The sequence below is a fragment of the Homo sapiens genome, chromosome 19 (genome assembly GCF_000001405.40).
Source record: "Homo sapiens chromosome 19, GRCh38.p14 Primary Assembly".
NCBI classification, from domain to species: Eukaryota; Metazoa; Chordata; class Mammalia; order Primates; family Hominidae; genus Homo; species Homo sapiens.
In genome coordinates, this window is record NC_000019.10 from 35,684,196 (window position 1) to 35,698,976 (window position 14,781).

Sequence of the window (14,781 nt, forward strand, 5' to 3'; positions counted from 1 at the left end):
ACAGAGGCAGTGAGGAGACAGGGTTAGAGACCGGGTTTCACCATGTTGGCCAGGCTGGTCTCGAACTCCTGACCTTGTGATCTGCCCGCCTTGGCCTACCAAAGTGCTGAGATTACAGGCATGAGCCACCACGCCCAGCCCCAAATTCATAAACTTTCTTAAAACACTATGAGATTTTTTGCAATTTGTTTTAGCTCATCCACTATCGTTAGTGTATTTTATGTGTGGCTGAAGACAATTCTTCTTCTTCTAATGTGGCCCAGGGAAGCCAAAAGATTGGACATCCCCTTTGGGAGGCCGAGGCGGGTGGATCACGAGGTCAGGAGTTCGAGACCAACCTGGCTAACAAGGTGAAATCCTGTCTCTACTAAAAATACAAAAAAATTAGCCAAACGTGTTGGCGGGCGCCTGTAGTCCCAGCTACTCGGGAGGCTGAGGCAGGAGAATGGCATGAACTAGGGAGGCAGAGCTTGCAGTGAGCCAAGATGGCACCACTGCACTCCAGCCTTGGTGACAGAGCGAGACTCCATCTCAAAAAAAAAAAAAAAAAAAAAAAGATTGGACATCCCTGCTTTACAACTTGGTTTCTTCACCTAATCATGGATTGTGGTTATCTTTCCAACTCAGTGAATATGAATTCATTTTACTTTTTTATTTTTTTGAGATGGAGCTTCGCTCTTGTCACCCAGGCTGGAGTGCAATGGCACAATCTTGGTTCACTGCAACCTCTGCCTCGCAGGTTCAAGCGATTCTCCTCCCTCAGCCTCCTGAGTAGCTGGGATTACAGGTGCACGCCACCACGCCCAGCTAATTTTTGTATTTTTAGTAGAGACGGAGTTTCACCATGTTGGCCAGGCTGGTCTCGAACTCCTGACCTCAGGTGATCCACCCGCTTTGGCTTCCCAAAGTGCTGGGATTACAGGCGTGAGCCACCGCTCCTGGCCCAGTTTTTTGTTTTGTTTTGTTTTGTTTTGAACTATTGCAATATATTCCAGAGTATAAATGTGTTACAGATCATCATGATCTGTTTGTTGTTCAGTTAATAAGGCAAGGAGCAAAACATTGTGCTAAAGTGGTCTCATTTTTATAAAAATTATATCTACATATTTCCCATTAAGAACTCCTTTGTTTTATTTTATTTTAGTTCAGTTTTTTTGAGACAGGATGTCCTGTCACCCAGGCTGGGGTGCAGTGCCACGATCTCAGCTCACTGCAGCCTTGACCTCCCAGGCTCAGGCAGTCCTCCTACCTCAGCCTCATGAGGAACTGGGACCACAGGCATCTGCCACCACGTCCAGCTAAATTTTTTTTTATTTTTTGTAGACATGAGGTCTGTGTTGCCCAGGCTGGTCTTAAACTCCTGGGCTCAAGCGATCCTTCCACCTCAGGCTCCCAAAGTGCTGGGATTACAGGCATGAGCCACCGCACCTGGCCCCATCTATTACTTTTTCTTTTCTTTTCTTTTCCTTTTCTTTCCTTTTCTCTTCTTTTTTTTTTTTTTTTTTTTTTGAGACAGGGTCTCACTCTGTGGCCCAGACTGGAGTGCAGTGGTGCGCTCTCGGCTCACCACCGCAACCTCCGTCCCACAAGGCTCAAGTGATTCTCCTGCCTCAGCCTCCTGAGTAGCTGGGATTACAGGCGCATACCACTGCAGCCTGGCTAATTTTTGTATTTGTAGTAGAGACAGGGTTTCACCATGTTGGCCAGGCTGGTCTTGAACTCCTGACCTCAAATGATCCACCTGCCTCGGCCTCCCAAAGTGCTGGGATTACAGGCGTGAGCCACGACACCCAGCCCTATTACTTTTCAATAACAAAAATTAATAAAGAGATTTCTAAAATACTGAACAGTATATGGCTTTACTTTTCAAACTAGAATTCTTATATTTTTAAATTTAAATTTTTTTAATTTATTTATTTATTTATTTATTATTTTGAGATGGAGCCTCGTTCTGTTGCCCAGGCCGGAGTGCAATGGAGCGATCTCAGCTCACTGCAAACTCCACCACCCAGGTTCAAGCGATTCTCCCGCCTCAGCCTCCTGAGTAGCTGGGATTACAGGCGCCCGCCGTCATGCCCGACTAATTTTTGTATTTTTGTAGAGGCGAGGTTTCACCATGTTGGCCAGACTGGTCTTAAACTCCTGACCACAGGTGGTCTGCCCTCCTTGGCCTCCCAAAGTGCTGAGATTTCAGGTGTGAGCCACTACAGCTGGCCTCAAACCAGAATTTTTAAAACGCCACTTACATGGAATATACACACTGGATTTTCCCAAACAAGAGCCCCTCCAGGCTGACTTCCCTAAATGGCTTTTCAGCAGGCCCCGGAAAGCTTCTCGCCCCACCCTGGGCACACATTGGAACAGCTTGTAAACATGTCAAGGAAATTGGGGATTCCATCCTCATCTGCTCATAAAGTCAGGTGTCCTCAGCCAGGCGCGGTGGCTCAAGCCTGTAATCTCAGCACTTTGGGAGGCTGAGGTAGGTGGATCACTTGAGGTCAGGAGTTTGAGACCAGCCTGGCCAACATGGTGAAACCCCATTTCTACTAAAAAATACAAAAATTAGCCAGGCGTGGTGGCGGGCGCCTGTAATCCCAGCTACCCAGGAGGCTGAGGCAGGAGAATCACTTGAACCTGGGAGGCAGAGGCTGCAGTGAGCCAAGATCGCGCCATTGCACTCCAGCCTGGGCCACAGAACGAGACTCTTAATCAAAAAAAAAAAGTCAGATGTCCTCACCAGCAAGTCGATGGTGACTTAGTTGATAGTGATTGGGATTCTCTGAGAGAAGCAGAGACAGCACTGACTTCTCAAAAGGCCCACCACACTGAGCCTCAATGTGCCCCTCTATAAAATGAGAGTTGTAACAGTCCCTATCTCATAGCATAGGGCCCTGTTCTTTTTTCTTTCTTTCTTTGTTTTTTTGAGACAGTGTCACACTCTGTTGCCTAGGCTAGACTGCAGTGGTGCAATCACAGCTTACTGCAGCCTCAACCTCCCAGACTCAAGTGATCCTCCTGCGTCAGCCTCCCAAGTAGCTGAAACCATAGGCATGTGGCACCACACCTGGCTATTTTTTTATTATTTGTAGAAGCAACAGGGTCTCACTATGTTGCCCCAGATGGTCTTAAACTCCTGGCCTCAAACGGTCTTTCTGCCTCGGCCTCCCAAAGCACTGGGATTGTAGGCATGCACCACCACACCCAGCTTCCTATTCTAAGAGCTCAGGAAACTGTGGACTTTCTAATTATGAATCAGGGATATTCTTGATCCTGTATAATCAGAACCAAATGCAGAAATAAACTTCCTGCTGAGGCTGCAATCGTCTCTAGTGAACCTCAATGTCAAGTGTTTGGGGCACTACCCATCCTCAACACTCACCAAAGGGACCCTCATATATGCATTTATAAAAATAAAGTCCGGGCGCGGTGGCTCATGCCTGTAATCCCAGCACTTTGGGAGGCTAAGGTGGGCAGATCACTTGAGGTCAGGAGATCGAGACCAGCCTGGCCAACATGGTGAAACCCCATCTCTATCAAAAATATAAAAAATTAGGCCGGTCACGGTGGCTCACACCTGTAATCCCAGCACTTTGGGAGGCCGAGGCGGGCGGATCACGAGGTCAGGAGATTGAGACCATCTTGGCTAACACAGTGAAACCCCGTCTCTACTAAAAATACAAAAAAAAAAAATTAGCTGGGTGTGGTGGTGAGTGCCTGTACGTAGTCCCAGCTACTCAGGAGGCTGAGGCGAGAGAATGGCGTGAACCCGGGAGGCGGAGCTTGCAGTGAGCGGAGATCACGCCACCGCACTCCAGCCTGGGTGACAGGGCAAGACTCCGTCTCAAAAAAAAAAAAAAAAAAATTAGCTAGGTATGGTGGCGGGCACCTGTAGTCCCAGCTACTCGGGAGGCTAAGGCAGGAGAATTGCTTGAACCCAAGAGGTGGAGGTTGCAGTGATCCAAGATCGCACCACTGCACTCCAGCCTGGGCAACAGATCAAGACTCCATCTCAAAAAAAAAAAAAAAAGAAAAAAAAAGTCACACTTGAAAATGCTTGGTGCGGCCGGGCATGGTGGCTCATGCCTGTAATCCCAGCACTTTGGGAGGCCGAGGCGGGCGGATCATGAGGTCAGGAGTTCGAAACCAGCCTAACCAACATGGTGAAACCCCGTCTCTACTAAAAATACAAAAATTAGCCAGGCATGGTGGTGTGCGCCTGTAATCTCAGCTACTTGGGAGGCTGAGGCAGGAGCATGGCTTGAACCCGGGAGGCGGAGGTTGTGGTGAGCTGAGATTGTGCCATTGCACTCCAGCCTGGGCAATAAGAGCAAAACTCCATCTCAAAAAGAAAAGAAAAGAAAATGCTTGGTGCTTTTACTGTGAGATGATGAGCCCATGAACTCAGCATATGTTAGCGTGAATATGTTTCTGGCTGAGGATCTTTAAAGAATGTTTGTGGAGGCCGGGTGCAGTGGCTCATGCCTCTAATCCCAGCACTTTGGGCAGCCCAGGCGGGTGGATCACAAGGTCAGGAGTTCAAAACCAGCCTGGCCAATATGGTGAAACCCCGTCCCTACTAAAAATACAAAAATTAGCTGGACGTGGTAGCATGTGCCTGTAGTCCTAGCTGCACAGGAGGCTGAGGCAGGAGAATCCCTTGAATCCAGGAGGTGGAGGTTGCAGTGAGCCAAAATCGTGCCACTGCACTCCAACCTGGGCAACAGAGCAAGACTACGTCTCAAAAACAAAACAAAACAAAACAAAACAAAAGAATGTTTGTGGAGTTTATGCCAATTGATATGCATAAAATCAGTTTTTTTCCTTTATTATTATTATTTATTTTTTGAGATGGAGCCTTGCACTGTTGCCCAGACTGGAGTGCAGTAGTGCCATCTCGGCTCACTGCAACCTCCACCTCCCGGGTTCAAGTGATTCTCCTGCCTTAGCCTCCCAAGTAGTTGGGATTACAGGCACCCGCCACCACGCCCAGCTAAGTTTTTGTATTTTTAGTAGAGATGGGGTTTCACTATGTTGTTCAAGCTGGTCTCAAACTCCTGACCTCATGATCCACCCACCTCGGCCTCCCAAAGTGCTGGGATTACAGGCGTGAGCCACCGCGCCCGGCTATATATTTTTTTAAGACAGAGTCCCATTCTGTCACTCAGGGTGGAGTGCAATGGCAGGATCATGGCTCACTGCAGCCTCAACCCCCCAGACTCAAGCGATCCTCCTGCTTCAGCCTGCCAAGTAGCTGGGACTACAGGTGCATAACACTATAACTGGCTAATTTTTAAATTTTTTGTAGAGACGGAATTTTGCTGTATTGCCCAGGCTGATCTCAAACTCCTAAGGCTCAAGTGATTCTCCTACTTCGACTTCTCAAAGTGCTGGGATTATAGGCATGAGCCATTGTGCCTAGCTAGTTTTTTCCTTTAAAAACCACACTGCTGACCAGGCGCAGTGGCTCACGCCTGTAATCCCAGCACTTTGGGAGGCCAAGGCAGGAGGATTACCTGAGGTCAGGAGTTCGACACCAGCCTGGCCAACATGGTGAAACCCCGTCTATACTAAAAGTACAAAAAAATTAGCCGGGTGTAGTGGTGCACACCTGTAATCCCAACTACCCAGGAGCTGAGGCACGAAAATCCCTTGAACCCGGGAGGCGGAGGTTGCAGTGAGCTGACATCATTCCACTGGACTCCAGCCTGGCCGACAGAGCGAGACTGTCTCAAAAAAAAAAAAAAAAAAAAAAACCCTGCAAAAGAATTTAATGGCATGAAAAAAATGCTTGGGAAATTGTGACATGAGAAAAACAGATTACAATGTAGCATGCCAAGTATGATTCCTTCCCTGATAAAAATATAAATATGTGCATGTTTGCATTTTTTTTAAAAGAAAGTCTTCCAAAGGTTATTGAGGAAGAGGACACATTTGCAGGGGATCTTTACTTCATTCCTTGGACATTTTGGTATTTTGCAAATATTTTATGATGACTATTGCCTTTGTCCTCTAACAAAAAATCAAGAAATATATCTTAGTTAAAATGTCCCTGCTGGACATAAAATGTACATTGAGAAGAGAATTATCCTACTAAATATTTTCAAACTTTATCTGAGCAGTTAAGGTGTCCGGAATTGGTGGGTTATTGGTCTCACTGACTTCAAGAATGAAGCCGCGGACCCTCGCGGTGAGTGTTACAGCTCTTAAGGTGGCGTGTTTGGAGTTTGTTCCTTCCGATGTTCGGATGTGTCCGGAGTTTCTTCCTTCTGGTGGGTTCCTGGTCTCGCCGGCTCAGGCAGGAGTGAAGCTGCAGACCTTCGCGGTGAGTGTTACTGCTCATGAAGGCAGTATGCACCCAAAGAGTGAGCAGCAGCAGGATTTATAGCAAAGAGCAAAAGAACAAAGCTACCACAGCACGGAAGGGAACCCCAGCGGGTTGCCGCGGCTGACTCGGGCAACCTTCTTTTATTCTCTTATCTGGCCCCACCCACATCCTGCTGATTGGTCCATTTTACAGAGAGCCGAGTGGTCTGTTTTGACAGGGTGCTGATTGGTGCGTTTACAATCCCTGAGCTAGACACAAAGGTTCTCCATGTCCCCACTAGATTAGCTAGATACAGAGTGTCCACACAAAGGTTCTCCAAGTCCCCACCAGAGTAGCTGGATACAGAGTGTCGATTGGTGCATTCACAAACCCTGAGCTAGACACAGGATGCTGATTGGTGTGTTTACAAACCTTGAGCTAGATACAGAGTGCCGATTGGTGTATTTACAATCCCTGAGCTAGACATAAAGGTTCTCCACCTCCCCACCAGACTCAGGAGCCCAGCTGGCTTCACCCAGTGGATCCCGCACTGGGGCTGCAGGTGGAGCTGCCTGCCAGTCCCACGCCGTGCGCCCGCACTCCTCAGCCCTTGGGTGGTCGATGGGACTAGGTGCCGTGGAGCAGGGGCGGCGCTCGTCGGGGAGGCTCAGGCCGCACAGGAGCCCACGGGGTACGGGGAGAGGGGAGGCTCAGGCATGGCGGTCTGCAGGTCCCAAGCCCTGCCCCGCGGGAAGGCAGCTAAGGCCCGGCGAGAAATTGAGCACAGCAGCTGCTGGCCCAGGTGCTAAGCCCCTCACTGCCCGGGGCCGGCGGGGCCGGCCGGCCGCTCTGAGCGCGGGGTCCACCGGGCCCACGCCCACCCGGAACTCGGCGCTGGCCCGCAAGCACCGCGCGCAGCCCCGGTTCCCGCCTGCGCCTCTCCCTCCACACCTCCCCGCAAGCTGAGGGAGCCGGCTCCGGCCTTGGCCAGCCCAGAAAGGGGCTTCCACAGTGCAGCAGCGGGCTGAAGGTTCCTCAAGTGCTGCCAAAGTGGGAGCCCAGGCAAAGGAGGCGCCGAGAGCGAGCGAGGGCTGTGAGGACTGCCAGCACGCTGTCACCTCTCAGTAAGACAGGTCAGGGCTGGGCACAGTGGCTCACGCCTGTAATCCCAGCATTTTGGGAGCTGAGGCAGGAGGATTGCTTGAGGCCAGGATTTCCAGACCAGCCTGGCCAACATAGTGAGACCTCATCTCTCCAAAAAATTTAAAAATTAGCTGGCCATAGTGGTGCGCACTTGTAGTAACCGCTAGTCGGGAGGCTGAGGTGGGAAGATCGCTTGAACCCAGGAGGTAGGGGCTGTAGTGAGCTGTGATGGTGCCACTGCATTCCAGCCTGGGCAATAGCAAGACCCCGTCTCAATAATAATAATAATAGGCCAGGACTTGCTAGATGGGAGGCCGGGGTTTGACCTGACCTCTGACCTCTGGGCAGTCAGGTAGGTAGGCCGCCATCTCTGACCCACATCTGCCACTTGGCTTTCGGGCTCCATCCTACCATATACCTGCAGAGTGTGGCTCAGTCAGACCGGCAGCAGCGTGGCCTCACCCAGGCGGGCCTGCCTGCAGGACAGGTTTGTCCGCCCCAGCCCCCAAACTCAGAGGCCGGCTCCTGTGGGTAAGAGGGGAGCAAAGAGGTCAGGGCTATGTCAGGGCCCGGACCCCTTGAGGGACAGGCAGCCATTTGATGGCTGTTCCCCCCACACCCCAGGTGACTGCATCCCTCCTCAGCCTCTAACCCTCCACGGCTCTCCAGCGCCCTCCTCACCTCGCACTGAGGGCCCGTGTGGCTTGGCCCCTTGCCACCTCTCCAGGTATCTCTTTCTCTCTCTTGCTCCACTGAGCCAAGCTCTCTCTCTCACCATCTGAGATCACAGAATGGAAATAAGAAACTGTGTTATATAGCAATCAAGCCAGGCACATGCCTCTGACTACATCCACTTTTGCTTACACTCCTTCCATGAGGGCAAGTTGGTTCTTTTTTTTTTTTTTTAACTAAAACGTAAAAACACACACCCCTGCCCTTTCCTCAGGTGTCCCACGCCCACCAATTCCTCCTCTCTGGTCCCCGCGTCCTTGGCTGGTGTTAGAAAAATGGCTACAAGCTTCCTGGGAATCAGATAATAAAGCTTACAGGAACTCTTCCCAGATTTAAAAGAGCTTAATAAATAAATAAATAAAGCTTACCTTCTAGAGGGGAAAATAGATAAAACCAATAAGAAAAACACATGTTAGAGGCTAATAAGTGCTAAGGAGAAAAATAAAAGAATGAAAGACAAAACAAAAACCTAGCCGGGCGGGGGGGCGCGGTGGCTTACGCCTGTAATCCCAGCACTTTAGGAGGCCAAGGCGGGAGGAACGCTTGAGGAGTTCGAGACCAGCCTAGGCTACATAGTGAGACCCTGTCTCTACAAAACAATAAAAAAATTTTTAAAAATCGCTGGCCATGGTGGCAAGCACCTGCATCACAGCTGCTCAGGAAGCTTAGGCAGGAGGATCACTTGAGTATGGCAGTCGTCGCTGAAGTGAGCCAAGATGGCACCACTGACTCTGTCAGCCCAGATAACAGTCTCAAAAAAAAAAAAAAAAAAAAGATGACTGGGCATGGTGGTTCACACTTGTAATCCCAGCACTTTGGGAGGCTGAGGCAGGCAGATCACCTGAGGTCAGGAGTTCGAGACCAGCCTGGCTAACATGGCGAAACCCTGTTTCTACTAAAAATACAAAAATTAGCTAGATGTGGTGGCATGTGCCTGTAATCCAAGCTACTCAGGAGGCTGAGATAGAAGAATCACTTGAACCTGGGAGGTGGATGTTGTAGTGAGCCAAGATCGTGCCACTGCACTCCAGCCTGGGTGGCAGAGCAAGACTCCATCTCAAAAAACAAAAACAAAACAAAACAAAGCAAAAAACGGTGAGAGGGCCTGGTGCCCCCTCTGGAATGTTTTTCATTGTCTAGGTTTGACACTGTGCTGTGCCATCACGTGTGGGGCTGGGGAAAGTGCAGATTCCGGGGCACACGCCTGCCCTTGGAGCAGGGATGGAGTCAGCTCCATCTATAGGGTCTGGTCTGGGAGGAGGGAGAGGGTGCTTGCCCAGAGCAGGCTCAGACCCTAAGCCTGAGCCTAGGGAAGGGTGAGCCGACCCTGGAGGCAAATGGACCACAATCCCCCCTCCCCATCAACCTTCACCAGCGATTCCGGGATAAATGACACAGACAGCACTGAGAATTCCATGGTAGTCGTTATTATTACTGTTGTTTTTATTAATAGCAGGGGCCCCATCACTTACCTGTGGGTTATCAATTTATTACCTCTCAGTTCCATTTGTCATCTGGTGCCAGGTTAGGCTTTGTCAATAGAGGGCGCTGGAGAGCCACTGAGGAGCCAGGGCCCCTCTGCCTCACTCCAGGGCTTTGTGTTCTTCCTACTGCGCTGTGACCAGCAGGTGGCTGCTATGCTCCACATTATAGGGAGTGACCTCCACTGCCACCCTCTCCTCCTTCTCCCTCCTCCTCCTCCCTCCTCCTCCCTCCTCCTTCTCCCTCCTCCTCTTCCTTCCTCCTCCTCCTCCCTCTTCCTCTTCCTCCCTCCTCTTTTCTTTCATCCCTCTTCCTTTCTCCTCCTTCTTCCTTCTCCTTCCTTCACCCTCCTCCTCTTCCCTCCTCCTTTTTTCTCTTTCTCCTCCTCTTTCCTCCTCCGCCTTCTTCCTCCTCCTCCTCCTTCTTCCTACCCCTTCTCCTCCCCCTTCCCCTTTCTTTTAAAAGACGGGGTCTCAGCCAGGCACAGTGACTCACACCTGTAATCCCACCTGTAATCCCTCACTTTGGGAGGCCAAGACAGGAGGATCACTTGAGCCCAGGAGTTCGAGGCTGCAGTGAGCTATGGTAGCACCACTGGACTCCAGCCTGGGCAATAGGGGGAGACTTTGTCTGAGAGAGAGAGAGAGAGAAAATGAGAATCGCACCGTGTCGCCCAGGCTGGAGTACAGTGGCAGGACCATAGCTCTCCAGTGCCTTCTTGAGTCTAGCTAGGGACTTGTCACTTAACCCAACAGATCTATTTAAAACATGAAGTAGAATCATTGTTTCTCACAGAATCAGCTGCCTTCTCAGATCCTCTACAAATGGAAACAGAATCATGCAAAACAGGGAAGGTAAAGGGACAAGAAAATGGTCTTTTTGAAGAGCTGCTCCCAGCCCTGCTGGACAAAATGACCAAAATAGGATCCCTGGTATTAAAGTTCCTCTCATAAAAATCCATTCAGAAAATTGAGGACACTTTGGGAGGCTGAGATGTGAGGATTGTTTGAGGCCAGGAGCCTGGGCAACAGAACAAGGCCCTGTCTCAAAAAAAAAAAAAAGAAAAGATACATATATATATATCTGTACCCAGAGTCAAGACAAGCAATATTTGTTGTCTAAAAACAACTCTGGTTCAGGGTACATCAGTTAACTTTTTTTTTTTTTTTTTTTTGAGATGGAGTCTCGCTCTGTGTCCCAGGCTGGAGTGCAATGGTGCGATCTCAGCTCACTGCAAGCTCCACCTCCTGGGTTCACGCAATTCTCCTGCCTCAGCCTCCCAAGTAGCTGGGACTACAGGCACCCGCCACCACGCCCAGCTAATTTTTTGTGTTTTTAGTAGAGACGGGGTTTCAGCGTGTTAGCCAGGATGGTCTTGATCTCCTGACCTCGTGATCCGCCAACCTCGGCCTCCCAAAGTGTTCAGATTACAGGCATGAGCCCCCACACCCAGCCTTTTTTTTTTTGAGACAAGAGTCTTGCTCTGTTGCCCAGTCTGGAGTGCAGTGGTGCAATCTCAGCTTACTACAACCTCCACCTCCTGGGCTCAAGTGATTTTCTGCCTCAGCTTCCCAAGTAGCTGGGATTACAGGCGTGCGCCACCACACCTGGCTAATTTTTGTACTTTTTGTAGAGACAGGGTTTCACCATGATGGACAGGCTGGTCTCGAGCTCCTGGCCTCAAGTGATTCTCCCACCTCAGCCTCCCAAAGTGCTGGGATTATAGGTGTAAGCCACCACGCCCAGCCCAAGACAGATACTTTAAGAAAGTAAACTGGCCAGGACAGTGGCTCACACCTGTAATCCCAGCACTTTGGGAGGCCAAAGCAGGCAAATCACTTGAGGTCAGGAGTTTGAGAGCAGCCTGGCCAACATGGTGAAACCCGGCCTTCACTAAAAATACAAAACTTAGATAGGCGTGGTGGCAGGCACCTCTAAATCCAGCTACTTGGAAGGCCAAAACAGCATCATTTGAACCCAGGAGATGGAGGTTGTAGCGAGCCAAGATCCTGCCACTGCACTGCAGCCTGGGTGACAAAACAGGGCTCTGTCTCAAAAATAAAATAAAATAAAGAAAAAGAAAATAAAGAAGGGAACTTAGGTTAAGTGAGGTCATAAGGGTGGGGCCCTGATCCCTGATGTCCTTATAGAAAGAGACACCAGGAGTGCACACACACGGAGGGAAGGCCATATGAGGTCACAGTGAAAAGGTGGCCTTCTACAAACCAAGGACAAATGCCTCAGGACAAACCAACCCTGCTGGCACCTTGACTTTGGACTTCCAGTCTCCAGAACTGTGAGAAATAAATGTCTGTTGTTTAAGCCCCCTAGTCTGTGATATTTTGTTACACAGCCCTAGCAGACCATTACATTCAGTCTCTTCTTTGCTTCCCACTGTGTCCTTTCTACCAAGCACCATGCCTAGCACATAGTAAGTACCCCCAAAAAGATGCACAAACATCATCGCCTCCTGTGGGAAGCTGTCCCTCACCCTTCTCCACTCCTTCTCCCCTTAGCTTAAGTGCCTCTTCTCAGCTTCAGTTCCTACACTTTCCACTTGGCTCTTGAAGAATATGTTTTGAGGTCTAATTCCTCTCTAGCAGGTGAAATGTTTGAAGGCAGGGGCTGGGTCTTCCCCAGGGCTCAGCACCAATGGCATGCACCATCAGAATTTTTTGTTTTGTTTTTTTGAGATGGAGTTTCGCTCTTGTCACCCAGGCTGGAGTGCAGTGACCCAATCTCAGCTCACTACAACCTCTGCCTCCTAGGTTCAAGCGATTCTTGTGCCTCAGCCTCCTGAGTAGCTGGGATTACAGGCGCCCGCCACCATGCCCGGCTAATTTTTGTATTTTTAGTAGAGATGGGGTTTTGCCATGCTGGCCAGGCTGGCCTCCAACTCCTGACCTCAAGTGATTAGCCAACCTTGGCCTCCCAAAGTGCTGGGATTACAGGTGTGAGCCACTGCGCCTGGCCAGGAGTTTAATAAATATTTGAGTGAAAGTAAGTTTCTTGACCTTGACGCATGGGCCCTAGAGAGCTAGAAGACCTGAATTCTAAGCTTCATTCCTGTGCAACTGTGGACACTGAGCCTCAAATGTAATCATGGTCTGGGGTTTTTCCAGAGATCAAAGCTTGGGGAAAGTCCTTTGTTCTCTGAAAGGTACAGGGTTATTTTCACATCTGTTATGAACACTCGTGCCGTTGAGCTGAGCTCCTGAGTCTTAGTCAGCTGCCTGGCTCCAGGTGGACTTCCTGCTGTACCTCAGATATACTAAGCTCACTCCTGCCTTGGGGCTTTTGCGCTTGCTACTGCTTCTGGGAACACACTGCCCCCAGGCTTTCCCATGATCCCTTAATTTTCAGGGTCTACACCACAGCCAAGGCAGATGACACTGATTGCAAGGAAACAACTCGGTTACAGGGCATTGGGGAACAGAAGAAATGCCACTATTCGGCTCACGCCTGTAATCCCAGCACTTTAGGAGGCCGAGGTAGGTGGATCACAAGGTCAAAAGATCGAGACCATCCTGGCCAACATGGCGAAAACCCGTCTCTACTAAATATACAAAAATTAGCTGGGCGTGGTGGCCCGCGCCTGTAGTCCCAGCTACTCAGGAGGCTGAGGCAGGAAAATCGCTTGAACCCAGGAGGCAGAGGTTGCAGTGAGCCGAGATCGCGCCACTGCACTCCAGCCTGGAGGGCAGACTCCATCTCAAAAAAAAAAAGAAGAAGAAATACCACTGCTCTATTAGTTCATTTAATCCCCTCAATGACTTTGAGAGGTACACACTTTTTTTCTTTTTTTTTGAGACAGGTTCTCACTCTGTCACCCAAGCTGGAGTGCAGTGTTGCAATCATGGCTCACTGTAGCTTCTACCTCCTGGGCTCAGGTGATCCTCTTACCTCAGCCTCCCCAGTAGTTGGGATTACAAGTGTGTGCCACCACACCTGGCTAATTTTTGTATTTTTTGTAGCCATGGGGATTCGCCATGTTGCACAACCTGGTCTTGAACTCCTGAGTCCAAGCAATCCTCTCACCTCAGCCTCCCAAAGTGCTGGGATTACACATGTGAGCTACCACGACCGGGAGTATGTACCTTTTTTTTTTTTTTGAGATGACGTCTCGCTCCGTCACCCAGGCTGGAGTGCAGTGGTGCAATCTCAGTTCACTGCAACCTCCCCCTCCCAGGTTCAAGCGATCCTCCTGCCTCAGCCTCCCGAGTAGCTGGGATTACAGGTGCCTGCCACCACACCCAGCTAATTTTTGTATTTTTAGTAGAGATGGGGTTTCACCGTGTTGGCCAGGCTGGTCTTGAACTCTTGACCTCAGGTGATCTGCCTGCCTCGTTCTCCCAAAGCGCTGGGATTACAGGCATGAGCCACTGCACTCAGCCACTCAGCCCTTTTTTTTTTTTTTTTTTTTTTTTGAGACATAGTCTCACTCTGTTGCCCTGGCTGGAGTGCAGTGGCATGATCTCAGCTCACTGCAACCTCTGCCACCTGGGTTCAAGCGATTCTCACGCCTCAGCCTCCCGAGTAGCTGGGATTACAGGCTTGTATTTTTAGTAGAGACAGGGATTCACCATGTCGGCCAAGCTGGTCTCGAACTCCTGACCTCAGGTGATCCGCCCACCTCGGCTTCCCAAAGTGCTGGAATTACAGGTGTGAGCCACCATGCCTGGCCAATATGTACTATTAATATGCCCATTTATGATATGACCATTTAATATGCCCAGATGAAGAGATTAAGGCCCAGAGGGGTTAAGCAATTTGCCAAAGGTCTCACAACTAGTAAATAACAGGGCCAGGATATGATGCAGACAGTTTGGATCCAGCATTCAGCTACCTAGGCTGCAAGGCTCTCTGCTTCTCAGTGTACAGTTAAGCTTAGTTAGTGTAGGATCTGGCATGGGGAGTTGCTCAATAAGCAACTGAAGGCAGGGGCTTTTTATTTATTTTTCTACTTCTTTCAGACATTTAACTCTCCAAATCTTACAGTCCAACCCCCCAAGCCAAGCCAACAACCCTTCCTATACCATCTTGCCAGAGCCCAGGGTCCCTCACTCCATCTTCTCATGCCTTCCTGGCCCATAAAAAGGATTCAATAATTTGTAGTAATT